Source organism: Homo sapiens, chromosome 17 (assembly GCF_000001405.40).
Source record: "Homo sapiens chromosome 17, GRCh38.p14 Primary Assembly".
NCBI classification, from domain to species: Eukaryota; Metazoa; Chordata; class Mammalia; order Primates; family Hominidae; genus Homo; species Homo sapiens.
Window position 1 is genome coordinate 80,949,312 of NC_000017.11, and position 26,253 is coordinate 80,975,564.

General features: G+C 58.2%; 1 protein-coding gene and 1 long non-coding RNA gene across 3 annotated transcripts in view, besides 5 other annotated features; one reads left to right on the forward strand and one right to left on the reverse strand.

Annotated features, from left to right (window-relative positions):
• The window catches only part of RPTOR (regulatory associated protein of MTOR complex 1), a 421,531-nt gene extending 404,474 nt beyond the window's left edge, over window positions 1-17,057 (forward strand). For both annotated transcript variants that reach the window (NM_020761.3, NM_001163034.2), the window contains 7 exons: window positions 132-236; window positions 8,313-8,419; window positions 10,767-10,894; window positions 12,083-12,169; window positions 13,150-13,266; window positions 13,617-13,746; window positions 14,951-17,057. In NM_020761.3, the coding sequence (NP_065812.1) occupies window positions 132-236; window positions 8,313-8,419; window positions 10,767-10,894; window positions 12,083-12,169; window positions 13,150-13,266; window positions 13,617-13,746; window positions 14,951-15,019 (743 nt within the window). In that variant the 3' untranslated portion in view covers window positions 15,020-17,057. The remainder of the gene's footprint in view (window positions 1-131; window positions 237-8,312; window positions 8,420-10,766; window positions 10,895-12,082; window positions 12,170-13,149; window positions 13,267-13,616; window positions 13,747-14,950) is intronic.
• Window positions 10,076-10,593: an enhancer, noted in NCBI's record as "H3K4me1 hESC enhancer chr17:78933187-78933704 (GRCh37/hg19 assembly coordinates)". NCBI's record gives its function as "activates a minimal SCP1, AML or CMV promoter by ChIP-STARR-seq in primed H9 embryonic stem cells {active_cell/tissue: H9 hESC(primed)}" and the evidence as "EXISTENCE:reporter gene assay evidence [ECO:0000049][PMID:30033119]".
• Window positions 14,872-15,421: an enhancer, noted in NCBI's record as "H3K27ac-H3K4me1 hESC enhancer chr17:78937983-78938532 (GRCh37/hg19 assembly coordinates)". NCBI's record gives its function as "activates a minimal SCP1, AML or CMV promoter by ChIP-STARR-seq in naive H9 embryonic stem cells {active_cell/tissue: H9 hESC(naive)}" and the evidence as "EXISTENCE:reporter gene assay evidence [ECO:0000049][PMID:30033119]".
• Window positions 15,972-16,521: an enhancer, noted in NCBI's record as "H3K4me1 hESC enhancer chr17:78939083-78939632 (GRCh37/hg19 assembly coordinates)". NCBI's record gives its function as "activates a minimal SCP1, AML or CMV promoter by ChIP-STARR-seq in primed H9 embryonic stem cells {active_cell/tissue: H9 hESC(primed)}" and the evidence as "EXISTENCE:reporter gene assay evidence [ECO:0000049][PMID:30033119]".
• LOC400627 (uncharacterized) lies at window positions 16,928-21,902 on the reverse strand. The gene is made up of 2 exons (NR_148968.1): window positions 21,477-21,902; window positions 16,928-19,634 (listed from the first exon to the last, which is right to left on the reverse strand). It is a non-coding gene; the product is annotated as an uncharacterized LOC400627 (long non-coding RNA).
• Window positions 20,503-21,308: an enhancer, noted in NCBI's record as "H3K4me1 hESC enhancer chr17:78943614-78944419 (GRCh37/hg19 assembly coordinates)". NCBI's record gives its function as "activates a minimal SCP1, AML or CMV promoter by ChIP-STARR-seq in naive H9 embryonic stem cells {active_cell/tissue: H9 hESC(naive)}" and the evidence as "EXISTENCE:reporter gene assay evidence [ECO:0000049][PMID:30033119]".
• Window positions 21,309-22,113: an enhancer, noted in NCBI's record as "H3K4me1 hESC enhancer chr17:78944420-78945224 (GRCh37/hg19 assembly coordinates)". NCBI's record gives its function as "activates a minimal SCP1, AML or CMV promoter by ChIP-STARR-seq in naive H9 embryonic stem cells {active_cell/tissue: H9 hESC(naive)}" and the evidence as "EXISTENCE:reporter gene assay evidence [ECO:0000049][PMID:30033119]".

Below are 26,253 nucleotides of genomic sequence, written 5' to 3' on the forward strand. Positions count from 1 at the left end.
GTAGTGAGTCAGGCTGGCCGCCCAGGGTCACTGCAGCACGTCTGCCAGGAAGGGCTCTTACCACCACGCACAGAGCACAGGCCAGGCCATCGAGGGGCCTGGTTCACATCCTTTCCTCTCTCCCTCCCCAGACGATGGTGCCATCAGGGTCTGGAAGAATTTTGCTGATTTGGAAAAGAACCCAGAGATGGTGACCGCGTGGCAGGGGCTCTCGGACATGCTGCCAACGACGCGAGGTGGGTCCGCCCGGCTCCTCCCCAGAGCAGAATGTGTTCCCGGGGCTGCGGACGCACTCGGAATTCCAAGGCCCTTCTGGGGCTGTCTCTAAACAGGCTGCTCCACCTCAGAGTCCCCAGAATCCTAAAGCAACAGCTCCCCGCCAATGTCCCCGAAAGCGTGAGAGCCCCAGGTCCCTGAGTGCACTGCCTGGCTGGAGTCCCAGCCCTGGGCATGGTCTCAGCCACTCGTGGGTGCCCCTGTCCCCAACCTTCATCCTTGGCTTGCAGACATGTGCTGCTTGGGACAGCATCACTGCTGGCAGGGCCTAAAGGGCCCGCATCACGGGGTCCTTCTTTGGACCTAAAATTAGGTCTGCTCTTTGGACCTAAATTTAACTCCTCCTTGGGGGTCGGGGTGCACATGGCCATCTGGGGCCTCACGCGCTCGCTGGCATGCCTGGGCTGGTGGGACGGAGTGGCTGCAGTGCCGGCTCTGGGTACAGTTCTGCGTGTTGCCTGCACCGCTGCACGGCCTGGGTGCGGGGCGAGGCGCAGGCCCACAGGTCCTTCTGGAAGGACTCAGGCAGGAGTTAGGAGGCTCCCGGGGTCAGGCTTCTGGGTCTAGATTTCCAGAGGCCCCTCTGCAGCACCAGGCATTCGCCTCTAGGAGTCATCGCTCTTCAGCGGATCCTGCAGCCCTTGGCGATGCTCAGAGTGAACGCGTTACCCCGCCAGCCCCCCTCTGCCGGCTCCTGCCGGTTTGTGATTTCTGTGTCTTCGTCTGTGGCCTGTGGATGTGGCCTTACACCTCGTGGTCAGCCTTCCGTGTGGGGCCTGCCCTGGTTCTGCCCTAGGTTGCATGGCTCTGTCTCCGCCCTTCTGTCTGAGCACCTGTCCCGGGAGATGCCAACCCTCACGTGCCTCGGGACGTCATGGGGGCAGCTCCAGGGTGGACATTGCCTCGAACGTTGGATTTTTTTTTTTAATGTAGCCATGTTCTTAAGTTTCATCCAGCAAAAAAAATCATCCACACCCCGCACTCCGTGGGGGCCCTTTCCTGTTGCTTCTGTCCTGATCTCTGGGCTCTGCTTCCCCTGCGAGGCAACCCTCTTCTGGGGTATGACAGCTTCCCTGGGACAGGGCAGGAAAAGTGAGCCCCAGCCCGGGGCCCTGGTCCAGGAGGGGTCCCGGGAGACAGCTGGATGGCCAGCCTGGGGGTCAGGCCACTCACCGGCCATTGTGTGTCTCTCCAAAAGACCAATTTTGGTGACACTGTGTCATTTGCTAGAGAGGAAAGATCACTGTTTGATAGGCTTTCCAGGCTGTTTTTCTGGGGTCGCTCAGAGGCAGTGGTGCCATGGAAGGAGCTGGGCTTCAGCACGGGAGCGCCTGGCTGAGCCCTGGCTCTGCCTTGCCCTTTCTCTTGTTTGCTTTTGTGAAAACTTCCCTCCCTGTCCAAGGCTCGGACCTGCCGGAAATGCAGTGCTGGAAGGACACACCCGTGGCTAGCCCCGGGGTCCATGAGACCCCCCTAGAAGCATCCACATGTCCATGCCCAGCTGGCCCCGGGGTCCCTGAGACCCCCCGGAAGCATCCACACGTCCACACCCGGCTGGCCCCAGGGTCCCTGAGACCCCCCAGAAGCATCCACACGTCCACACCCGGCTGGGCCTGGGGTCCCTGACACCCCCAGAAGCATCCACACATCCACACCGGGCCACGCTGCAGGAAACAAGACTTGGTGGCCTGTGCTGCCCCACGGGCTCTCAGTCTCTCCGGGTCAGGATGGCAGTGCCCAGCTTACATATCAGGAAGCAGCACTGACGAGAAAAGCGGCCTTCTCGGCCCAGACCCTCCAGTGCTTCCTTCAGAGTGGGAGCCTGTGCTGCACTTCAGGGGTCTCGGGGTCAGAGAACGAGGCTCTCACTGCGGGGGAAGGCAGCAGAGGCGTCTCGCCAGACGTAAGAGCTCCAGGCCCCAGTCCCCGAAGGCTGTGCCAGCTGTGGGCTGGGGCACCAGGCACAGCTCTGGGCTCCCTCAGGTTGCACAGGACATGGGAAACCTGGGTGTGGGCAGCAGGCGGGTGTGTCACTGCTGCTGCGGCTTTGCTATGTGTCCAGGACTGGTTCAAACCAGTTCACTCGGCATCACAGAATCTGAACTGAAAAAGGACTTAGGGTTCACCTGACTATACCCCTCCATGGCAGGACGCTCGGGCCGAGGGACAGCTGCCCAGAGCCTCTGGTTCAGATGGACACCTGAGGCCCAGGGTCGGGCTGTGCCATGTCCCCCATGCCGGCATGTCACTGTCCTACCCGGGTACGTCGGCCTATGTGCTGGAGACAGGGCCTTTACAGAGGTGATTAAGGTCAAACCAAGTCACCAGGGTGGCCCTAACCCAATGTGCCTCGTGTCCTTACAAGAAGAGGCCACCAGGACACAGACACACGTGCAGGGACAGGTGGGCGTTCCTGGGACGCCGGCTCGGCACTCACCCAATGAGGTCACGGTGTCAAGGGAGGGCCCGAGTTCCAGCAGGTTGCTGGGGGATGTCTCACGGGCCTGAGGGTAATTATTTGTCATCGATTGGAGTCACACTGCCTAAATCCAGAGCCGTGAATGCTGACCACAGCACAGCCACCACTCTTCTTGAAAGTCACAGTCACCAGGACCCAGTGTTGGCATTTGATAGATTAATGGTATTAGCAGGTTGGTTTCCCTCCGCGGTATTACATTTAAGGGAATAAACAACTCACATGAACGGCCAAGGGCTGAAGACAGAAGTGGTGCTCTCCATCTTCGTCAGGTGCTCACGGAGGGCCCACAGCACATCTGATCTGGTCACCACGGGGATCCGTGGAGCCGCAGAGGTTTCATCCTCCCCTGGAACTGAGGAGCTCAGGCCCTCCGCCAGCTTCTGCTGCAGGGAGCCTGCAGGAGGCCCAAGGCGTGACCTCCGCTTGCCCCAGCCCCCACTCGCCTCTCCCGGACCCGCTTGCCCAGTTGGGCACACCCAGCTCAGGCACACGCAAGCCAGGCTCCCCACGTCACCCCTGAGACTGGTGCTTTGGAGGCTGTTTCTTGTTTTCTGGCATCTTGAATGTTCTCCATGTGCTCGTTCTCACCTTTTCCCTCTGTTTGTTCTGCTCGTGTCACTGCTGTTCCCAGGGCACCTCTCTGTTCTTCCCGACCCAAGGTGTCGCTTCCTGGCAGAGTCACCAGGAGGATCGTGCCTGGGACGTGGCTGCTGCCCCCCAAGTGACCATGCAGTCTAGAAGTGCAGAGCCCAGACCCATGCATCTCTCCCTTCTCTTTTTCTTTTCTTCTTTTTTTTTTTTTTTTTTTTTTTTTTTGAGGTGGAGTCTCGCTCTGTTGCCCAGGCTGGAGTGCAGTGGCGTGATCTTGGCTCACTGCAACCTCCGCCTCCCAGGTTCAAGCGATTCTCCTGCCTCAGCCTCCCAAGTAGCTGGGACTAGAGGGTCGCACCACCACGCCTGGCTAATTTTTGTATTTTTAGTAGAGATGGGGTTTCACCATGTTGGCCAGGATGGTCTCGATCTCCTGACCTCAGGTGATCCTCCCACCTTGGCCTCCCACAGTGCTGGGATTACAGGTGTGAGCCACTGCACCCAGCCTGTGCATTTTCCAAGTTGTGCAGCCACCACCTTTATCTAGTTCCAGAAGATTCTCACCACTCCAGAAGGCGGCCTGCTGCCCATTAAAGCAGTTTCTTCCCATAGATTCTTATTTATCTATTTTTGAGACAGGTTCTTGCTGTCACCCAGGCTGGAATGCAGTGGCACCATCACGGCTCACTGCAGCCTCGACCTCTCAGGGCTCAGGCAGTCCTCCTACCTCAGCCTCCTGAGTAGCTGGGACCACAGGCCCATGCCCCACACCCAGCTCCCATAAGTTCCTCACTTAAACAGAGAGAAACTTAGAAAATGTCTGTGCCAAGCCAAGCCCTCTGTGCTTGTGGATCTGCCCCAGGTCTCAGAGTGGGGCCTCAGGGCCTCCTGGCGCAGCCTCCGGATGGCCGTGCCTCCAGGCAGGACAGCACTGAGCCACTAAAAGGGATGCACCAGGAACCCTGGGCGGTGTCCTCCTCGGTCACCCAGACGCCACTTCCCAAGAGCATGTCCGGGTGGGCAGCAAGCATTCTTTGTGATTAATGTAGGTAACAGCATATCCTGAGGGAGGGGGCTCCAGTTCTGTGTCCTCAGGCTCTGTTGGCTGCACAGCTGCAGCAGGAGCTGGGCTCTTCTGGGCAGAAACGGGGAAGTATGTGCCCTCCCGCCCGGTTGCACACCGGCCCTCACTGTGCTCACAAGGCCTCCCAGCGGAGGAGCAGGGCTGCAAGTTGAAAGCCTGTGATCCACCACGGCGCTCGTGCTTCTGACCTGCTGGGACATTTCTTCCTGCCTGGGTTCAGGTGTATCACAGTAGAGGGACTACACTTCTTTTTTTGTTTGTTTGTGTTTGTTTTTGAGATGGGGTCTTGCTCTCACTGCAGCCTCAACCACCTGGGCTCAAGCGGTCATCCCACCTCAGCCTCCCAACTAGCTGGACCACAGGCGCACACCACTGCAACGGCTAATCTTTTTTCTTTTGAGACGGAGTTTCACTCTTGTTGCCCAGGCTGGCGTACAATGGCGGATCTTGGCTCACTGCAACCTCCACCTCTCAGGTTCAAGCAATTCTCCTGCCTCAGCCTCCCAAGTAGTTGGGATTACAGGCACCCACTGCCACACCCAGCTATTTTGTGTATTTTTAGTAGAGACGGTGTTTCACTATGTTGGCCAGGCTGGTCTCGAACTCCTGACCTCAGGTGATCCACCCGCCTCAGCCTCCCAAAGTGCTGGGATTACAGGCGTGAGCCACTGTGCCCGGGCTACATTGGCTAATCTTTTATTATTTGTAAAGACAAGGTCTTGCTATGTTGCCCAGGCTGGTCTTGAACTCCTGGGCTTAAGCAATCCTCTGTCTCGGCCTCCCAAAGTGCTGGGATCACAGGTGTAAACACATCTGGCCTGGGACTGCATTTCAAAAGTAAAATAAAGAATGTATGTATGCCAGCAATTAACAACTAGAAAATGTAATTATAAAACATCATGGGCCAGGCGTGGTGGCTCACGCCTGTAATCCCAGAAGCCGAGGCAGATGGATCACCTGAGGTCAATAGTTCAAGACCAGCCTGACCAACATGGTGAAACCCCATCTCTACTAAAAATACAAAAATTAGCTGGACATGGTGGCAGGTGCCTGTAATCCCAGTTACTCAGGAGGCTGAGGCAGGAGAATCACTTGAACCTGGGAGGCGGAGGTTGCAGTGAGCCAAGATCACACCACTGCACTCCAGCCTGGGCAAAAGTGTGAGACTACATCTCAAAAAAAAAGAAAGAAAGAAAGAAAGAAATCATAGACAACGGGAATAAAAACTGCAAGATACCTAGGAATGAATCCAACAAATGCACTTTCTTCACAGATCAAAGCATAAACTCTAATTGAAGACTATAAAAGGCACATGCAGTGTTCATGGCACCATAGCCATGGATGAAAAGACTCATCATTGTGGAGATTGGCAGTTCTCAAATTAATCTGTGGATTTATTAATACACTTTTGATTATATTCCCAGGAGAGATTTTTATAAAATGCAGACCAGCCAAGGCAATATTGAAGAGGCGCAGACGGCATTAAGAAGCTGCAATTGCAGGGCAGCCAGGCCAAGAGGCACCAGGGCCCTCAGCGCAGCAGTGAGCCCAGAAGGGCCGCAAGTGGCAGGGTACCTCTGCGCACTAGGGAAGGAGCCATGTTGCTAAATGGTGTTGGGACAGCTGATGCCATATAGAAAAGGATGCAGTGATACCCCTACCTCACACCATGCACAAAACACATCACAGTGAGAGACCTAACCTGTAAAAGCCTTTCAGAGAAAAATCAAGAGGAAATCTTCCTAACAGTGAGGAACAAAAAGACAGATTGAACAAGAGATTGAGGGTAAAGACATCAATAGGTTTGACTCTACAGACTTCTTCATGACCACAAGAAAAATGTCACGGTTGTAATGTAAGTGGCAGAATAAGAAAAGATATTTGCAGTATCTACGAGTTACAGAATATATATAAAAATATGTGCAACTGTCTGTCGTGAAAAAAAACGGCAAACACCACACATCGATAAGGATTTGGGGACATTGGCTTGTGTGTGTCCTGCCGAGAGTGTAGATGGTCACCCATTTGGGGAATGAAATGGCCTTCCCTGGGGAGATCAGAGTCATGCAGGATACATGACTGGCAGTTCCGTTCTAGGCGCTTCCTTCTCCACCCGCAAGGACACGTGAAGTTGTTGACTGTGACATGGTTCACAAAGCCAGGGGCAGCTCAAATGACGGGGTTAGTTGTACAGTGGAAGGTAACGCAAGATTAAATGAGTTAACCAGAGCTGTGTGTCTTGGGCCAGATAAATCCTCAAAGCCTAACATTAAAGAAGCAAGTTGCTAGAAAATAGGCCCCATTTTGACACTGAAGAGGTTTTTTGAAATGTGGAAGGCATGTTACGTTGTTGATGAGCGTGCGTAAGCAGGAAAACCTCAGCAGCCCCTGGGAGGCGCCCTCAGCCCAAGGGACAGCCCTCCCAGGCAGGCGCAGGGGCAGACGATGCTTTTACTGTGTCTAAAATTATGCTTCTCTATGAAAAAAAAAAAAAAGAGCAAACAATGGTAAAATGTTAGCAAAGTTAGAGCTGAGTGGTGGGTACAAGGATTACTATGGTGTTCCTTTCTGTATCTTAAAATGGTTATCATTACAGTTTTAGAACTGAATCTGGTTTTAAATACAGGCCGTCACGTGAGGTGGGGGTTGCTCTGCTCTGTCTAATCCCCACACAAAGGGCAGCCCTTGCCCCATTCTCTCCGTCCATCCCTTGCTGACGCCAGCCGTCGGGAGTCAGCCCCTTGCTGTCTGAAGGCTGCCGGCCCGTGGCCCATGCCGAGCTCCTGTTTGTCTCAGAAGAACCGGCTTCCTCAAGCTTTGATAGGGCCAAAAGGAGGACCCTCATCTTCAAGCCTTAACAGCCTTCCTAAAGTCACCCAGACCTGCCAGTTCTGCCCAGGCGTCCAGACGGCAGGCATCTTAGACGTCGCTGCAAGGGTCTGCTCCAGATGGTGAGCACCTTAGACAGACGTTGCTGGAAGGCACTGCTCTGAACGGTGGGCACCTAACAGACGTTCCGGGAAGGCACTGCTCCGGATGTTGGGCATCTTAGATGTTCCTGGAAGGCACTGCTCTGGACAGTGGACACCTTAGACAGATGTTCCTGGAAGGCTCTGCTCCGATGTTCCTGGAAGGCTCTGCTCCGAACAGTGGGCACCTTAGACAGACGTTCCTGGAAGGCTCTGCTCCGAACAGTGGACACCTTAGACAGATGTTCCTGGAAGGCTCTGCTCCCTCTAGCGATGCCTGGGGCATAGTCGAGTCAGGGGAAGACTCAGAGTTCCAGCTCAGAATTGTCGCCCCAGCCTGGACTTGGGAGTTCCAGCTCAGAATTGTCACCCCGGCCTGGACTTGGGAGTTCCAGCTTAGAACTGTCACCCCGGCCTGGACTTGGGAGTTCCAGCTTAGAATTGTCACCCCGGCCTGGACTTGGGAGTTCCAGCTTAGAACTGTCACCCCGGCCTGGACTTGGGAGTTCCAGCTTAGAATTGTCACCCCGGCCTGGACTTGGGAGTTCCAGCTTAGAACTGTCACCCCGGCCTGGACTTGGGAGTTCCAGCTTAGAATTGTCACCCCGGCCTGGACTTGGGAGTTCCAGCTTAGAACTGTCACCCCAGCCTGGACTTGGGAGTTCCAGCTCAGAATTGTCATCCCGGCCCGGACTTGGGAGTTCCAGCTCAGAATTGTCACCCCAGCCTGGACGTGGGGCACACCAGGGTCCCTAGCGGGAGCTCATATGAGGCATATGGACCCACCAGATGGGCTCGATGGTGGCAGGGGTACCTTGTAGCTGCTGGCCAAATTGCTGCCCAGAGCAGGCCCCAAAGCCTGCCCAAGGCAAGGGCCCATGGGGTGATGCCATGTCCCACTGTATCTCTCCAGGAGCTGGGATGGTGGTGGACTGGGAGCAGGAGACCGGCCTCCTCATGAGCTCAGGAGACGTGCGGATCGTCCGGATCTGGGACACAGACCGTGAGATGAAGGTGCAGGTAACCATGCAGGTGTCCCCCAAGCCCTGGGCCTGTGGGGCAGTGTGTGCAGGGCTGGTCCTCGTCACAGAACCCAGCAAAGTGTGCGGTGAGGCCTGGCCATCCCAGGGGTGGAGTCAGGGCCTGGGAGGACAGTGCCGGGACAATGCTGGGAGGAGACGTGGGCTCCCTGAGGCCTCTGGATGAAGGTGAACTGCAACACCCAGCCCTGCGCTGCAGTATGGCTCAGGCTGCGCCAGCTCTGAGTGTTTGCAAGTAGTGTCTTCTCTCTGCAAATTAAGGAATGTCAGAAATCAGTAGGGTGACCAATTGTAAATTAGAATGATTAATTATTTGGAGGCGTTTTTTTTTTTCTTTTGAGATGGGGTCTCACTCTGTCACCCTGCGTCACCCAGGCTGGAGTGCAGTCGTGCAATCACAGCTCACTGCAGCCTCAACCTCCTGGTCCAAGTGATCCTCCCACCTCACCCCCCCCCCCCACCACCAAGTAGCTGGGACTACAGGCATGCACCCACACGCCTGGCTAATTTTTTTAACTTTTTGTAGAAACAGGGGTCTCAGTATTTGCCCAAGCTGGTCTCGAATTCCTGGCTCCGGCAATCTTCCTGCCTTGGCCTCCCAAAGCACTGGGATTATAGGTGTGAGCCGCTACAGAAGACAGAAGATTTTTGTTTCTTTTTTTTTTTTTTTTTTTTTTTGAGACAGAGTCTTGCCTTGTCGCCCAGGCTGGAGTGCAGTGGCGCGATCTCGGCTCACTGCAAGCTCCGCCTCCTGGGTTCATGCCATTCTTCTGCCTCAGCCTCCCGAGTAGCTGGGACTACAAGCGCCCACCACCACGCCCAGCTAATTTTTTTTTTGTATTTTTAGTGGAGACGGCGTTTCACGTGTTAGCCAGAATGGTCTCTATCTCCTGACCTCGTGATCCGCCCACCTCAGCCTCCCAAAGTGCTGGGATTACAGGCGTGAGCCACTGCGCCCGGCCAGAAGCCTCTTTGCTTCTTAAAGCATCTGCTATTTTCAGTTTTGACAAAAAGCGGAGTACATTGGTTTTGCCCAAGACAGCCTGGAAAAGTGGTAGAGACCTAAGCAGGCCGCGCTCAGCAGAAATCTAACTGCATTGACTTCATTTGGAGCAGAGGCGAGACCACAGATACTGTGAGGGGCAGCGCCTGAGGTGGCTTTAGAGCCAGTATTCCCTTCCTCTGGGTCCCCAGGGAGAGGTGTGGCACAGAGGCCATACCCAGCCTCTCTCCCGGGCAGGCCATCTGGTGTCAGGAGGGATGGCTCAGCCCTGCTGCCGTAGAGGGCGGTGTGGAGCAGGCCCAGCAGAGGGGAGGCCTGGGCACCCTCAGCTGCTCGAAGCTGCTGTGGTTGCTCTGGGCAGCAGCAGCCCGAGAACCTGGCCCAGGCCTTCCCGTGTGGGCAGCCTCCCCTCTGACGTGACCGTGGATCCCTCGAGGCACCAGCAGCTTTCATGGCACCTTCTTTGGGGTGGGGGGGTCTTGCACCTGTCTGGAGCTGTGGCTCCACACGAGACGTAGCCCTCAGGGCACAGCGTGGACACCCTGATCCTCAGGGTCTGGTCACCAGTGGGGGCTTAGAGGCCCAGGTGGCCTGCGGGGCAGGTGCTGTTCCTGCAGAGGTGGGTGGAGGCACAGAGCGCAGCAGGTGCTCCCAGAGCCGGCTCTGCCCCTCGCAGGGGTCTGGCCCCATCATCCCCACGCCTGTGTTTCCTCCTGGAGTGCACAACCCAGCACCGCCCATCGTGCGTGGAAAGCGCTCTCCCTCTCGTGGCCCTTTTCCTCCTGCGTCCCTGGCAGGTGCCATCGCCCCCGCCCCCGCTTCTCCAGCACTTAGAGCCCCCGAGGGAGCCAGATGACCCCTCCTGGACTCGTCCCATAGCTCATTAGAAGTTCTGAGACGCAGCCAGTGAGGAGTCCTTGCCAAAATGTGCTTTGCTTTCCTTTTTAGGAAACAGAGAGAGGTTGGAAGTTTAATTGGCACTGACAGCCAGTCCTTCCCAGAGGCGTTTGCAGGCCTCCGCTCGGGGTGGGGCTGGCCTCTGCCTCACTGGCTGGGTCCCAGGCGCCTCAGGGCCTCAGGGCTGTCCCTCCAGGGCCAAGGGATAAGGGCGTGACTCATTGTCCTGCCAGCCCCTGCCTCTCCCTGGGACTCCTGGGCTCCCCAGGCCTTTGATGCTTCCCTGGATAGAGAGAAAGGCCCCTGCAGCCAGGGAGGGTGATCCCCACAGCCAGGCAGGCAGCAAGAGGGGTCCTGGCGCTGCAGGACAGCAGGGAGGGTGGCTCGGTGCCCCGGTCTTCACCGGGCTGCCTGTGTTTGGCTCTAGGACATCCCTACGGGCGCAGACAGCTGTGTGACGAGTCTGTCCTGTGATTCCCACCGCTCACTCATCGTGGCTGGCCTCGGTGACGGCTCCATCCGCGTCTACGACAGAAGGATGGCACTCAGCGAATGGTACCTTGACCCTGTCCTCTCCCTCCCCGAGTGCTGGCAGGGTACCTTCCAGGTGGTAGGGCCGTGTCACTGCCATTTGGTTGGGTCCAGGTTTCTCAGTGAGATGCAAAGCTTCCCCAGGAGCCTGCAGTGGCGTATTTAGGCCAGTCCTGGGCTCCCCAAAGCCGCCAGGCCCGTCCCACTGAGGCCCATCCCACAAAGGTCTGCCCCACAGAGGTCCACCCCACAGCCTATGGAGGAGCACAGGGGACAGGCCATGTGGGATGAGCCAGTGGACTGGAGGCAGAGGCTGTCGGGGTGAGGCAGGGCCGCAGCCAGGCACCTGCCACCTCTGAGCTCACCTGAACAGAATACTGCCACTGCCTGCCACCTCCTGGGTCATGCAGCAAGTGTCTGGGGAGGGATGTCTGAGGGCACACACGTGGGCACAGCAGCCCTGGGCACTGCCTCCACTGAGCACCCCTGTGGGCAGGTGCTGTCCGCGTCTGGCAGAGGACAGGGTACACGCATGGGCACAGCAGCCCTGGGCACTGCCTCCACTGAGCACCCCTGTGGGCAGGTGCTGTCCATGTCTGGCAGGGGACAGGGCACACGCGTGGGCACAGCAGCCCCGGGCACTGCCTCTGCTGAGCACCCCCGTGGGCAGGTGCTGTCCGGGCCTAGCAGGGGACAGTCCGTCTTGGCCCACACGGCTCATGCAGCAGAAGTAAATTTCACCCAGCACAGAGCGAGGATTCCCAGAAGGTCCTTGTGCCTCCAGCTTCATCAGCTTTAGGTCTGGGATTCTCATTCCTGACCCTCCAGTCTGCACAGATCGGGGAGACACAATGAGGAGTTTTGAGGGAAGCAAAGCAAAGGGTGGGCAGGGCCTGGGAGCGCTGCGATGGCCGCCTGGCCCCCGTCTCTGGGCAGCTTCCATGTGGCTCAGACAGTCCTCCAGCGGCCTGACGGTGACCTAGGGCCCAGCCCTGAGCCAGCCTGGGGAGGACACAGGGGGTCTCTGCTGGAGCAGGTCACCTGGAGGGGGCTCTGACCCTGCGTGAGCACTAGCCCCTCGTGGGGAGCGGACGGGCGAGGGCCTGCGGACCCGCTGGCACAGGCAGACCTGGGCAGCTCCCGGTGAGAGCCCCGAAGGGTGGGGACGTCCTTCAGGGAAGCCCCACGCTGAGCGTGCCCCCTCCCCTACAGCCGCGTCATGACGTACCGGGAGCACACAGCCTGGGTGGTGAAGGCCTCCCTGCAGAAGCGTCCCGACGGCCACATCGTGAGTGTGAGGTGAGGAGCGCCGATATTTAGCAGCCGTTCTGCTGTAAAAACATTATTTTCCCCTCCATTTAAAATACGTCCTTGGTATTTAAACAGCTGGAAGGGGATGGCATTTCGGGCAGTAATTAACTCCTGCCCTGGAACTGGCCAGAAAGATCAGGCGCAGCCCGTAGGGGCCCAGGGGCCACAGCTGCTCCCCTGCTGGGGGACACCTGACCTGCAGGCGCTTTGGGAACTTTCCTGGGCTGCCAACTGCGGAGGGTTCCGGGGGGAGTTGGGCAGCTGCTCTCCCTCCACGGGCAGGGGTGGCAGGGTGGCAGGGGCGGCGCGTCTGCCAGGCACGTGGCAGTTGTCTGCACATAAATTCAGTTCTGCCTCTTGGTAAATACAGCACCAAGAGCAGGGAATATTTATTTGCCTATTAAAGGAAGAGCAAGATGTAATTTATGAATGCAAAGCCAGCATTTCTTCAAAGAGATGCTCTTTTCCCCCTTGTTTGTGATATAAAAACCAAACATAACTCTTGGGATGGACGCCTGCTGGGGGTGGAAGGCAGGAGCCACGGGGCCTCAAAAGGGCCAGGCCATCCCTCTCTCGGGCCACAGCCTGCCATCCAGGCTCTGTCTCCCGGGACTGCAGGCCCCGGTTGCATGAAATCTAATCTCTAGCTGGAAATGAAACCAGGAGCTCACAGCCTCCTCCCGCATCTGTGCTCATGGTCATTTCTCTAGGCCAGAAAGCTCCGCGCCTTTTCTGGCTCTGAGAGAGCTTGTGGGGGACAGCCTTGGCCCTGAGACCAGTATGGGTGCATGTCTGGGCCCCACCTGGGCAGCCCTCACTGGGGACGCTGAGCATCCAGGCAGCTTTTTCCTTGAGCAGTGTGTGTGCAAACAGGTGTGCGACCCCACACACCTGGTTCCACCGTCCCCCTGGCCAGGCCCCTCATGGGGCCTCCGGGAGGAGGTGTCACTGTGACCCTCTCTTGGCAGCGTCAATGGAGATGTGCGCATCTTTGATCCCCGGATGCCTGAGTCGGTAAATGTGCTTCAGATCGTGAAGGGGCTGACGGCCCTGGACATCCACCCCCAGGCGGACCTGATCGCATGGTAGGCGCCACCCACCTCCCTGGCCTGCACCGCTCACCCGCCTCGGGCCTCTGTGCAAACGGGAGGCTCTTGTGTTCCTGCCCCCAGGAGCTGAAGGAGGGCAGGGGAGGATTTCACTGCTGTGGGGACATAAAAACAAAAGATGTCTGCCCACCACATCCTCCCAGGATAAACTCTCAGGGCCCTGCCAGGCCCGAGTCCTCAGTGAGAGTGACCAGAGGGTCACACCTGCCCCGAGCCAGCCTGTCCCCGTGGTCTAGCCGGCCTGTCCCCGCGGTCTCGGCATCTGCGCCCATCTTCCATCCTCAAAGAAGAGGGCAGTGATGCCGGGACCCTTTCTCTCCCCACAGTGGCTCCGTCAATCAGTTCACCGCCATCTACAACAGCAGCGGAGAGCTCATCAACAACATCAAGTACTACGACGGCTTCATGGGCCAGCGGGTCGGCGCCATCAGCTGCCTGGCCTTCCACCCGCACTGGGTCAGTGTGGCGGTGGGTGGGGGTCGGGGGTCGGGGGCTGGGGTAGAGGGATGGGAGGCAAGGGGACAAGGCAGCAGGGGTCCTGCCTGGCTACCCCACACCACAGTGGGGCCCATTGGCTGCCTGAGGGAGGGACTTGCCTGGGTCCCAGGATCTCTAGGGCCCCTGCCCCACCCTGCACTCGCCCCGGAAGCAGAGCCCCAGTCCCGTCACTCCGGGAGGAATTGACACACAGTGGCTGGGGCAAAGCTCCTGCCCTCAGACCCTGCACTAAAGCCATCCCTGGGGACCTCCAGGAGAGTCGCTCGGGGTGTCCATCCCTGTGCGGCCCTCACCCCGTCCCCTGTGCGGCCCTCACCCCGTCCCCTCTGCGGCCCTCACCCCGTCCCCTCTGCGGCCCTCACCCCGTCCCCTGTGCGGCCCTCACCCCGTCCCCTGTGCGGCCCTCACCCCGTCCCCTCTGCGGCCCTCACCCCGTCCCCTCTGCGGCCCTCACCCCGTCCCCTGTGCGGCCCTCACCCCGTCCCCTGTGCGGCCCTCACCCCGTCCCCTCTGCGGCCCTCACCCCGTCCCCTCTGCGTCCCTCACCCCGTCCCCTCTGCGTCCCTCACCCCGTCCCCTGTGCGGCCCTCACCCCGTCCCCTGTGCGGCCCTCACCCCGTCCCCTCTGCGGCCCTCACCCCGTCCCCTCTGCGGCCCTCACCCCGTCCCCTCTGCGGCCCTCACCCCGTCCCCTCTGCGGCCCTCACCCCGTCCGCTGTGCGGCCGAGTCCTCACCCTGTCCCCTGTGCGGCCGGGCCCCACCTGCACGGCTCTCTGGCCTTGGTTGCAGCCTCCCCACGTGGCTTCAGGCCGTTGTTTTTAGATTAGGATTCTGCCCACCTGCCGCCTTGTGTTGTGAGGCTCCAGGCATGTAGCTCTGCTGACACGTGTGACATTGGATCCCAGAGCTGCCCCGTGGGGCAGTCCTGAAAAAACCACGCAGGGCCCGGGGCAGCGCCACGCCCCTCACGGAGTGCACCATGCATGGGCCCTGCAGAGGACTGGTGGGACCGGCCCGGCATTTCCGGGCCTGAGGTGGGCGTGGGGGTTCCTGAGACCCCGGCAGGAGCTGCCTAAGGATGCGGGTTGGCCTGCGCCCCCCCGCCCCCCGCAGTGTCTGCCCGCACCTGAACCCCTGCTCACCCCTTCTCTCTCCTTGCAGCCTCACCTGGCCGTGGGAAGCAACGACTACTACATCTCCGTGTACTCGGTGGAGAAGCGTGTCAGATAGCGGCGTGACCCGGGCCCACCAGGCCACGGCCGCCTGCTGTACATAGTGAAGCTGTCACTCGCCGGGGCACGGGGCGTCGGCTGCTGCGGCCCCGCAGTGTGAACGTTGGCTGCTGCCTTAGCTGCTGATGACGGCAGGAGGGCCCTGCTACTCGCTTTTGTCTGTCTTCGCTGTCGTGTCTGGAATGTCAGGGAAGGGGAGGGCTCGGGTTGACGGTGGCTTCCCACTGAGCACCAGCATCCAGGTGCACCCCCGCGGCCACGGCGCCTCTGTCCCTCTCCTGTTCTGTGTTTCTCTGAGACGCTGAAAGGGGAAACACCTCACTTTATTTCCATGTAATCAGAGCATTAGCTGCAGAAAAACCCCCCGACAGAGCCCTGGCGGAGAGGCAGGCGCTGGGGCTCCTACGGGTCCCTGGGGCAGCTGTCCCCATCAGGCCAAGAGCGAGCGAGAGGCGCTGCCCCAGCCAGGCCCACCACCTCTCACAGTCAGTGCACGCAAGCAGGGACATTTCCTAGCCAGCTGGGGGACACTGGAAATTCGGGAAACCAAGAGAGAGGAAGAAGGAGACGCCCCTCCAACTGGCGGGTGTGAAGGAAGCCGCCCAGGGGTCCGGGCTGTCCTTGGCCGCTGGCAGCATCACTGAGCAGGAAGCGCACAGCCCACCCTCCCCGCACCTCCAGGTCTCTGGACTCCAGTTTTGGCCCCTCTCACACAGAGCTGTCAGCAGGGGCCGCTGTGGCGGTGCACAGGGGAGGCAGGTCCTTGGCGAGGTAGCCCCTGCCTTAATCCACGGGGCTCCTTTCCCTCCGAAGGGCTGCTCTTCCCCACAGGCGCGGGGACAGCAGCCCGACCTGTGGTCTCCATGCCTGTGCCCTCACACAGGTGTAGCACACGCATGTGCAGATGGCACCACGGCCGGCACCTGGGGGCACACACATGCAGGCGGCGTGGTCTCCCTGCTCTGTCCCCACACGTTCCTCACATACAGGCAAGAGGCACTGCCGGGTCCCGGACGGCTCCGGGTGACACCAGCCCCGTCTCCAGCCTTGAGCCGCCCATGCTGATGCGACCTCGGCTGACAGCTGGGCCTGTGGTGCAGACAGGAGCTGTGTGGACAGTCCCGCCCAGGAGGGGCCGCAGGGCGTGTATGAGCAGTTTTGCAAACAGAACACAACCACAATGATGGTATTTTGAAAAGTGTTCTTTCCGTGTTCGTCGGGAATCAGGATTATTGAGAGGTGAAGGAGCCAGGTGGCTTCATTCTGGCGGTGAGAGGCCCACGACCACGGGAGTGAGAGCTGGTGTGGCGAGGCCCGGCTCTCCTGCGGTGTGGCTGGTGGCCTGCCGTGGCCAAGAGCATCTTCTGGGTGGATGGAACCCTGCCTGGTCACATTTGGCCAGAGACACACCTGGCCCTCAGGGGGCTGAGCTGGAGACTGAGCTGGGGCTGGCCGGGACGTGACAAGGCAGGACAGAGGCGGCCCCTCCGCTGCTCCTTTTTGGAATGCGAGCTCCCACCAGAAGAAGGTTCCGGCACGAATCCCATCCCCACGTCTGGGCCGAGAAAGCAGCCCGGGTCCGGAAGGTGTAGAGAGTCCCGGCCTCACTCAGCTCACAGGGCGTGCCAGGCGGCAACACCAGAATCTTCCAGAAGCCCAGCTCCACCCGCACACGCAGCTTCCCATCCAGTCCTTCAACTCAATTCTTACCCAACACGCGTTTCTGTTTGTTTTGAGACAAAATCACCACCTGTCAAAAGGCAGGTGGCTCCAGAGGGGTCAAGACCCCCCCCCGCCCCCGCTCCACCCTGGAGCCCACCCCCATGGGCACCGCGTGCCGCCTGCACGTGGGCTGTCTTCACAGGTCTGATGTGAAAATTCAATCACGACGTTAACCGGCTCGAGAGAGCGCCGGCCTAGAGGCTCATTATCTATTTATTTTACCAAACGCGAATTGAGACGGACTTTGACAAAACACGAAATGGTAATGTGAAGCTAAGAGCAGAGAGTGACCAACAGTAAACAACACGCGCAGACTCCGCGGCTGGCGGCTGTGTCTTTAAGGAAACTGCCCACCCCACCTCAGGGGGGCATCGGTCAGAGCAGAGCTCTGGGGGGTGGGGGGACGTTGCCCGGGTCCCCCCTGCTGTCCCCAGGGCCACCAGCAGCTCTGCGTCCCGGGTGCTCTCCAGGCAGGCACTGTGGCCACAGGGGGCCTGGCACGTCGAGTGTGCAAAGGTCTCGGTCCTTTTCTCCCAGGCAGTGCCCCCAGCCCTGTGGCGCAGACCCCACATCAGGGAGCGTACTGTGTGGCAAGAGCCATCTTGTGACGTAGGCCAGACACGTGTCTTTCTCTTTAAAATGACGGTTATCCTCTCACGGTTAGAGGCCCCATTCAAGTCTGCATTGAAATCTGGGCCACGTCAGAGTTCCTGGGGGAGAAGCCGCTTCCCCGCTCCTCCCCACTTCTGGAGGCCCCCACTCTCCTTGGCTCGTGGCCCCTTCCTCCAGTTCAGGGCCTCTGACCCACGCCCACCGTCACCACTTCTCATGCAGGCCAGAAGTGTTTCCAGGCCTAGGGGCCGTACCCACCTCGGGCTGTGTGGGTCCTTAGCCCTAATCACATCTGCACATCCCTCTGGCCAACTCTTTTTGGGTTTGCTTTTTGTTTTGAGATGGAATCGCACGCTGTCACCCAGGCTGGAGTGCAGTGGCACGATCTTGGCTCACCTCAACCTCCACCTCCTGGGTTCAAGCGATTCTCCTGTCTCAGCCTCTCAAGTAACTGGGATTACAGGTCTGTACCACCACACCCAGCTAATTTTTATATTTTTGGTGGAGACGGGGTTTCGCCATGTTGGCCAGGCTGGTTTCGAACTTTTGACCTCAGGTGATCCACCTGCCTCAGCCTCCCAGCGTGAGCCACCACGCCTGTCCCCGTCTGGCCAATTCTTGAAAGGCTCCCGTTTCCAGATCACACTCTGCTCTGCAGGTCATGGCCTGTCCCTTGAGGTTTTTCCCAAGCAGCAAGGTCCGTGCAGGGATTGGGAGCCAGGGGGAATGTTGTGGAAGCCACAGCAGAGGCAACGGGCCTGGGCATGGTCCTGCGGGGCGAGTGGGAGGCAAGGGTCCGTGGGGATGGTCATGTCAGCCACACTGCACCACCTCAGGGGCCTGACTTCTGGAGAGCTTGGGAACAGGCTCTTGTCCCCCCGGCCCCTCTCACCTGCCGACCAGAAATTGGGTCTCGGGCACTGAGTAGCTTGCCCAAAGCCCTGCCTGTTGGGTGGTGGCAGGGACTGGGGTCCTAACCCCACCCCAAGGCCATGTGCGGAGACCTTTACTCCACCACTTGGGCTGGGGGGTGTGTTGGGGCTGGGGGAGCCACGCACTCGGGACCTACAGGTGCTGCTTGTGCAAGCCCCGCCCCGCCCTAGAGCAGGCCTGCAGGAGTGGCAGCTCGGGACTCGGATGCACCAGGGCGATATGTGGAGCAACCAGCCCCGCTGCGCACACAGAGGGGGCGCCTGCTACCCGCTGGGCCCCCACCCACCACGGCCTCATCACCAGGGCTCGTGGCTCCTTGAGGACGTCCCCTCTCACTCAGTGCTGCACTGAATGGCCCTTCGGGGCTTCCCTCGTGTTCATGTCATTCCTTTTTCCAGGATAGATTCTGGCACCCACTGCAGCCTGGGCCCTCCTCACTGAGCCCGGCTCGCCTGCCTCCCTCCTCCACTTTTTTTTTTTTTTTTTGACAGGGTCTCACTGTCACCCAGGCTGGAGTGCAGGGGTGTGATCATGGCCACTGCAGCTTTGACCTAGGCTCAAGCAATCCTCCCACCTCAGCCTCCTGAGTAGCTGGGACCACAGGCGTGCACCACTACACTCGGCTGATTTTTGTTTACTTTTTGTAGAGACAGGACTCAGTCTCACTATGTGGCTCAGGCTGGCTTTGAAGACTCGGTCTCACTTTGTTGCCCAGGCTGGCTTCGAACTCCTGGATTCAGGGGATCCTGCTGCCTCGGCTTCCCAAAGCTCTGGGATTGCAGGCGTGAGCCCCACGCTGGCCCCTCCTCCACTTTTAAGGACCTTGTGATTACACTGGGCCCCCCGGGATGCTCCAGGGTCACCACCCTAGTTTAAAGTCAGCTGATCCAACCTTATTTCATCTGCAACCTGGATCCCCCGAGCCAGGTAGTCACAGGCTCCCACTAGGATGTGGACATCGATAGGGAACACTATGCTGCCAACCAACCCCTGTCTACAAGCCAAAGAGCATCCCACCAGGTAGAGCCCACGAACACTCAGGGGTCTTGGGCAGGAGGTGGGTGGACACAGGGCGGGAAGGAGATGCTCAGTGGGGTTGGGGGAAGCACCGGCCGCGATGGGCCTCCCAGATCTCAGGGCCAAGGCATGGGAAGCTGGCACCATGTCCGGGTCCTTGGGGCTGTCGGTAAACAAGTGGATCCCCCATGACACAGCAGCTGCTCCCAAGCCCCAGCCGGGGCCGGAACACAGGGCACGTTGCCATGGAATCCTGGAATCCTGCGCTGAATTGCAGTTTGTTTCAGGCAAGGACGCCCGGCACTCACGCAGCTGTGCCAGGCGGGCTCCTGTTGAGAGAGTCATATTTTTCCCATTAGCACCAGTTTTTCTGTCACCGAGATGAGTACAAATCGAGTTCTTGTAAACATGGGGATGGGCACGCTGTAGAAGCCAGCCTCAGGGGAGGCCAGGGCTGAGCCAGGCCCACACCTGCCCCTGCCACTGCCAGACCCCGTGTGGTTGTGGTGAAGGGGCCAGGCCTGGTGATGCCATGTGGAGGAATGCTCAGCCTTCTGGCGAGGGGCCGGTGAGGGCCAGGGGTGGCCATGGGGGCTCCTGCTCAGCATGGCTCTGCTGGGTGAGACTGCAGGCACCTGCCAGATGGGCAGCTGTGGCCTCCAACACACGTCTGTGCCTGGCCCCCTTCCAGGAGTCTTGGCGGATAGCCCTCGGGAGGCGGCAGAGCAGTTGGCCTCTGGGGGTCTGTGTCTCAGACTCAGTTACCGGGTGGTCCGGAGCCCACACGTCCCCAGACAGGACAGAGCCTCAGAGTCAGGCACAGACCAGGAAGGAACCCTTGAAGGACACAGGGCGGGCGGGGAGGCCAGAGTGGGGGCCGAGCAGGACCTCCCACATCCGCCTGCGGAAGCCCCAGTGCCCGGAACCCCTGCACCCGGGCCTGCGGCTGTATTTGGAGACAGGGCCTTTGCACGGGTGAGTATGGTGAAATGAGGTCACCAGGGTGGCCCCAATGCAGTAGGACTGGTGTCCTTATAAGAAGGAAGATTAGGACACAGCTGTGCACAGAGGGACGGCCACACGAGGACACAGCCTACCTGCCAGGGAGAGTGGTCCCGGAAGAAGATAGCCAAGAGGCCCCTCTGTCTCCAAGTCCAGCCTCCAGACAGGGCGGGTGGAGAGGGAATACAGGCCTGCCGCTCAGGCTGCCGGGCCCACGGTGGTTTGCTTGGTGGCCCTGGGACACTGGCGCCACCATGGCACCTCCAAGCCCCAGCCTGTCCCTCACTTTAATGTGGGGACAGTTACTGCAGGCATGAGTGCTGTGAGCACCAAACAAGACCACAGAAGCTTCCAGAACAGCACTGGCACCAGGGAAGCACCCAATGGACACTGTCCGAGGTCACCTGAGGACTTCACAACTGCGGGTGCCACAGGGCTTGGGAGCTGGGAAGAACACAGCTCTTTGCCACAGCTCAGCCGATGTCAAGTCCCAGGGCTGCACGGTACCCGCCTGGACCATCAGAGGAGAGCAGACCCTGAGCTGGGCCTGGTCACCTGGTGCCACCCAGCTGAGGCCATGTCCTGTCGGTGGCTCCTGAGCTGGAGGAGGAAGAGCCCAACCACATGGGCCCTGCCTGTCCTTCCCCCTCCTCCACCTTGGGAAAGAACCTCACTGCAGCTGTTGCGGCGGCTTCCCTGCCCATCCCATCCTCCCTCCGGTGCCCACCCCGTCCGCCTGACTGCCGCCTCCTCTACATAATGAGCTAGAGGGTCCCTCCTCCTGAGCTCCACAGTCCCTGCGCTGGCCCTGCCGTCCCAGGAGCAGGAGCAGCCACAGGGCTCCTGGGGCTCTGAGGCTCCATCCGCTGTTGTGTGACCCAGGCACAGTGTCCACGGAACACAGGACGAGAGTTACACACCCAGCCCCGCCACACCACTGTGAGGACAGAGAAGGCATGGCGTGACCTGCCACCTGGTGGAGGGCTGCGACCATGGAGGGTGCTGGATGCACCTACCCTGCCCTGCTGCCTGGAAGGGGGTCTCTGCTCCCCAGGGCCGGGGGACCATGAGTTCACCTCTGTCATCAGTGTCAGCATGACAAACCCCACTGGTGCCGCTCACAGCAGGATCCCACATCCCAGGCCAGCCCCCTCTGCCATGCCACCTACCTCACAGCCAGAGGTGGGAACAGCAACTCTGGGGAGAACTGAGGGTGCTGTGGCCACCGGGTCCCTGAGGCTCACGGAGGAGAGTGAGGCGAGGAGAACCATGGAGCTGGGCCCTGCCTTGGGAACCAAGCACTCGCCCTTTGCAGCTGCAGAGCCGTCCTGATGGGCAGGCGGGGGCGGGGTCGCTGTGTAGCTGTGCAGAGAGCGCTCCGAATGGGGGTCTGTCACCAGCTCCCAAGCTCGTGGGTTCTCTCAAGATTCTTGTGGCACATGATTCATTGCCTTTCTTAACAGCATCGCTGAAAGGAGAAAAGGCCCTTTGGAAATTGATTGCAGTCCCTGGATGTGTCTCTTGGAGCACATGTCCCTCGGTTCCCACTTGGCAAACCAGGCTTCATGTCCCCAAGACAGGGCCAGGCAGCCCATGCGCTCCACCCCCTCCCCCGCCAGCCTGCACATCCTCCCCCATCGTCCATGCAGCCCCCCAGACGCCCGCTGTCCCCGGCCCTGGGTCCTGACGTGGCGGGAAAGGCAGTTCAGGACCCCCCATCTCCCACCTCCCTATCCGAAACCCAGCCCTCACTCCCCAGAAGGCCATCACTGCAGCGTCCTCCAAACAGCCTGTGGCCCCACAGGCATGCTCTGAGTTTGCTTCCAGGGGCCAGGAAGTGAGGAGCCCCCAGTGCTGAGGCCAGGGACACTCATGCAGGGCTCATGGCCACCAGCGACAGCCACCAAGGTCACTGCCCAAGGCTGCTTGAGCCATCCTGCCAGGTGGCCTCCTGGGCCCAGAAGGCTGATGTCACCCACGGCTCAGCATCGGAGGGCAGATGCCATCTGATGAGGTCAGAAGAACTGCCCAGACCCCAGGACCCCCACTCAGATCCCCACAGCCTGGTGAGGTACAGAACCACAGCCGCATCTGCAGGGGGAGGCGCAGGAGTACTCAGAGCTGTGGGTTCCCCTCTGGCCTCCCCTTGGAGGCTCTCCCGGCTGCCCTCCAGGGTCATCCACCATCCACCGCAGGCGAGCTGGAGGGGTGGATGGGAAGGCTTTGCCTGAGGGTGTAAGCCCCCAGGGCCCTCCAGGGAGGACAAGCTGCGCGGCCGGGAAGCTCCGCAGCCTCCAACCCAGGGCTGGCAGGAGCTGGGGGCTGGGGGCTCCCCACATGGGGTCCCAGGCTCACCTCCCAGCAGGGGGAGGCCCAGAGAGCTGCCCGCACACCCTCACCAACTGCTCCCCAGTCCTGGCCCCTGCCTGGCTCACCGTGGTCAGTTTGCCCCCACAGAGAACCAGCCCCCAACTGCCAGCTGCTTCCACCTTCAGCAGCTGCTGGGGGCCAACCAGGTTCCACCCTGTAGCCAGGGGCTCCTCCAAACCCAGCGATGGGGGAGCCAGCCCTGAAAGCACCAGCCCCAGGGCAGCACAGGGCCTGTCACAGGCCCCCAGCAAGCAGCCCGGGATCCAAGGTGCCAGGGAGTCCAAGAGCAAGGCACACTGGGTTTACCAACCACAACCCCCTCCATGCCCTCTGTGTTAGAAAAAGAAAGAAGAAAAGGCAGCAAACTCAGACTGTGGAGCGGGAGCAGCCACCACCTGCATGGAGCAGAGGCCCAGGTGGGCATGGGGATCTGGACCAGCAGAGCCTTCCTGGGCTGCGCACCCCATCCACGTGGGAGACAAGAGCTTAAGGGCTCCCAGAAAGGCTCCCAACCATAGCAGCAAGGAGGGGCTGGATGCAGGAGAGCCACAGAGTTTGTCGCTGGTACAGTGGCATGACCTGCCTTGCAGGAGGAGGTGCCTGTGGGCGGTAACACAGCCGCCCCCATCTTCATACTCTGAGCCCAGCTTCTCCCCTAACTGGAAGACCCAGATGAGGCACTGCTGTCAACCCAACTGGCTATGAAAGCCCTGACCACGTGCAGGATGCCCATCCTCACAGCCTGTAAAGGGAGGAGACCGTGCCGGGTGCAGTGGCTCATGCCTGTAATCCCAGCACTTTGGGAGGCCGAGGCAGGCGGATCCCGAGGTCAGGAGATAGAGACCATCCTGGCTAACACGGTGAAATCCCATCTCTACTAAAAATACAAAAAAAAAAAAAAATTAGCCGGGCATGGTGGCGGGCACCTGTAGTCCCAGCTACTCAGGAGACTGAGGCAGGAGAATGGTGTGAACCCAGGAGGTGGAGCTTGCAGTGAACCGAGATCGCGCCGCTGCACTCCAGCCTGGGCGACAGAGCAAGACTCTGTCTCAAAAAAAAAAAAAAGGGAGGAGACTGACCACCCCCAGGCTCTGCAGGGAAGGTGACAGAGGCCAACAACCACAATCAAAGGCAAAGTGGGACCCACATGGGTGGTTTTTTGGGTTTTTTTATTTTTTTGAGACGGAGTCTCACTCTGTCGCCCAGGTTGGAGTGCAGTGGCGCGACCTCCGCTCACTGCAAGCTCCACTCCCGGGTTCACGCCATTCTCCTGCCTCAGCTTCCTGAGTAGCTGGGACTACAGGCGCCCGCCACCATGCCCGGCAATTTTTTTTTTTTTTTTTTTTGTATTTTTAGTAGAGACGGGGTTTCACCGTGTTAGCCAGGATGGTCTCGATCTCCTGACCTCGTGATCCGCCCGCCTTGGCCTCCCAAAGTGCTGGGATTACAGGCGTGAGCCACCGCGCCGGGCCTTTTTTTTTTTTTTTTTTTTTTTTTTTTTTTTGAGATGGAGTCTCACTGTCACCCAGGCTGGAGTGCAGTGGCGCAATCTCATCTCACTGCAACCTCCGCCTTGCAAGTTCAAGCGATTCTTGTGCCTCCACCTCCCGAGTAGCTAGGATTACAGGCGTGCGCCACCATGCCTAGCTAATTTTTGTATTTTTCGTAAAGACGGGATTTTGCCATGTTGGCCAGGCTGGTCTCGAACTCATGACCTCATGATCCACCCACCTCAGCCTCCCAAAGTGCTGAGATTACAGGCGTGAGCCACCACGCCTGGCCACGGGTTTGTTTTTGTTTTACTTTTAAAAACTTTTTGGTCTGGGAGAAAAATGACACACTAGCAATGAACAATCTGAAAAGGAAATTAAGAAACCAATTCTATTTACAATAGGATGCAAAAGAATAAAATATCTAGAAACAAATTTGACAAAGGAAATGAAAGACTTTGACACTGAAAACTACAAAACATTGCTGAAAGTAAGAGGCTCTAAAGATGGAAAGAAATCCCACGTTCATGGATTGGATGACCTAATATTGTTAAGTTAGCAATACTCCCCACAATGATCTACAGATTCAAGGCAATCTCTATCAAAATTCCGATGGCCTTTTTCACAGAAATAGAAAAACCAGGCTAGGTATAGTGGCTCACACCTGTAATCCCGACACTTTGGGAGGCGGAGGCAGGTGGATTGCTTGAGCCTAGGAATTCAAGACCAGCCTGGACAACATAACCCCCATTCTACAAAAAATACAAAAATTAGCCAGGCATGATGGCGTAGTAGTCCCAGCTACTTGGGAGGCTAAGGCAGGAGGATCACTTGTACCCGAGAGGTTAATACTGCAGTGAGCCGTCGTCACACCACTGCACTCCAGCCTGGGTGACAGAATGAGACCCTGTCTCCAAAAATAAAAAGAAAAAAGAAAAACCAATCCTCAACTTCAAGGGGCCTCAGAGAGCCAGAACGATATTGTAAAAGAATTATAATATCATAAAATAATATTGTAAAATAATTTTCTTCTTGCAAAAGAAAAAAATTAGCCAGGTATAGTGGCTTGTGCCTGTAGTCCCAGCTACTGAGGAGGCTGAGGTGGGAGGATCTCTTGAGCCCGGGAAGGGAGTCCAGCCTGGGCAACATAGGAGACGCCATCTCTAAAAAGTAAAGAAGAAATAGTGTTGGTGGGGGGAGGAAGAAATTAGAGGATTCACATTTCTCAATCTCAAAACTTACTACAAAACTATGTGGTACTGGCATAGAATAGACGTACGGAGCAATAGAATAAAATAGAAAGCCCAGAAATAAACCCGAAGATCTAATATGACTGATCGATTTTTGCAAGGGTGACAAGACCATTCAGTGGATAAAGGGTAAAGAATGGCCTTTTTAACAAATGATGCGGGGGCAGTTGGAGATTTACATGCCAAAAGCAATGACGCTGGACTCTTACCTCATACCATGTACTGAAAACTAATTCAAAGTGGATCAATGACCTAAATACATGAAATAAAATTATAAAACAGCTAGAAAAAAACATAGAAGTCAATTTTAATGACCCTGGGTTTGGCAATGGATTCTTAGATTTGACACCAAAAGCACATGCAACAAAAGAAAAAATAGATAAATTGGACTTCATAAAAATGAAAAACTTGTGCATCAGAAGACATTATCCTGCCAGGCACAGTGGCTCAGGCCTGTAATCCTAGATCTTTGGGAGGCTGAGGCAGGAGGATTGCCTGAGCCCAGGAGTTCAAGATTCAAGACCAGCCTGGGCAACATAGCAAGACCTTGTCTCTACAAATTAAAAAAAAAAATAGCTGGTTGTAGCGTCACGTGCCTGTGGTCCCAGCTACTTGGAAGGCTGAGGCAGGAGAATCACTTGAGCCTGGGAGGTTGAGGCTGCAGTGAGCTATGATCACACCACTGCACTCCAACCTGGGTGACAGAGCCAGACCCCTGTCTCAAAAAAGAATGTGAAAAGACAACCTACAGAAATGGATTAAACTATTTGCAAATAATGTATGTGATAAGGGTTTAATATCCAGAACATATAAGGAATTCTTACAACTCAACGACA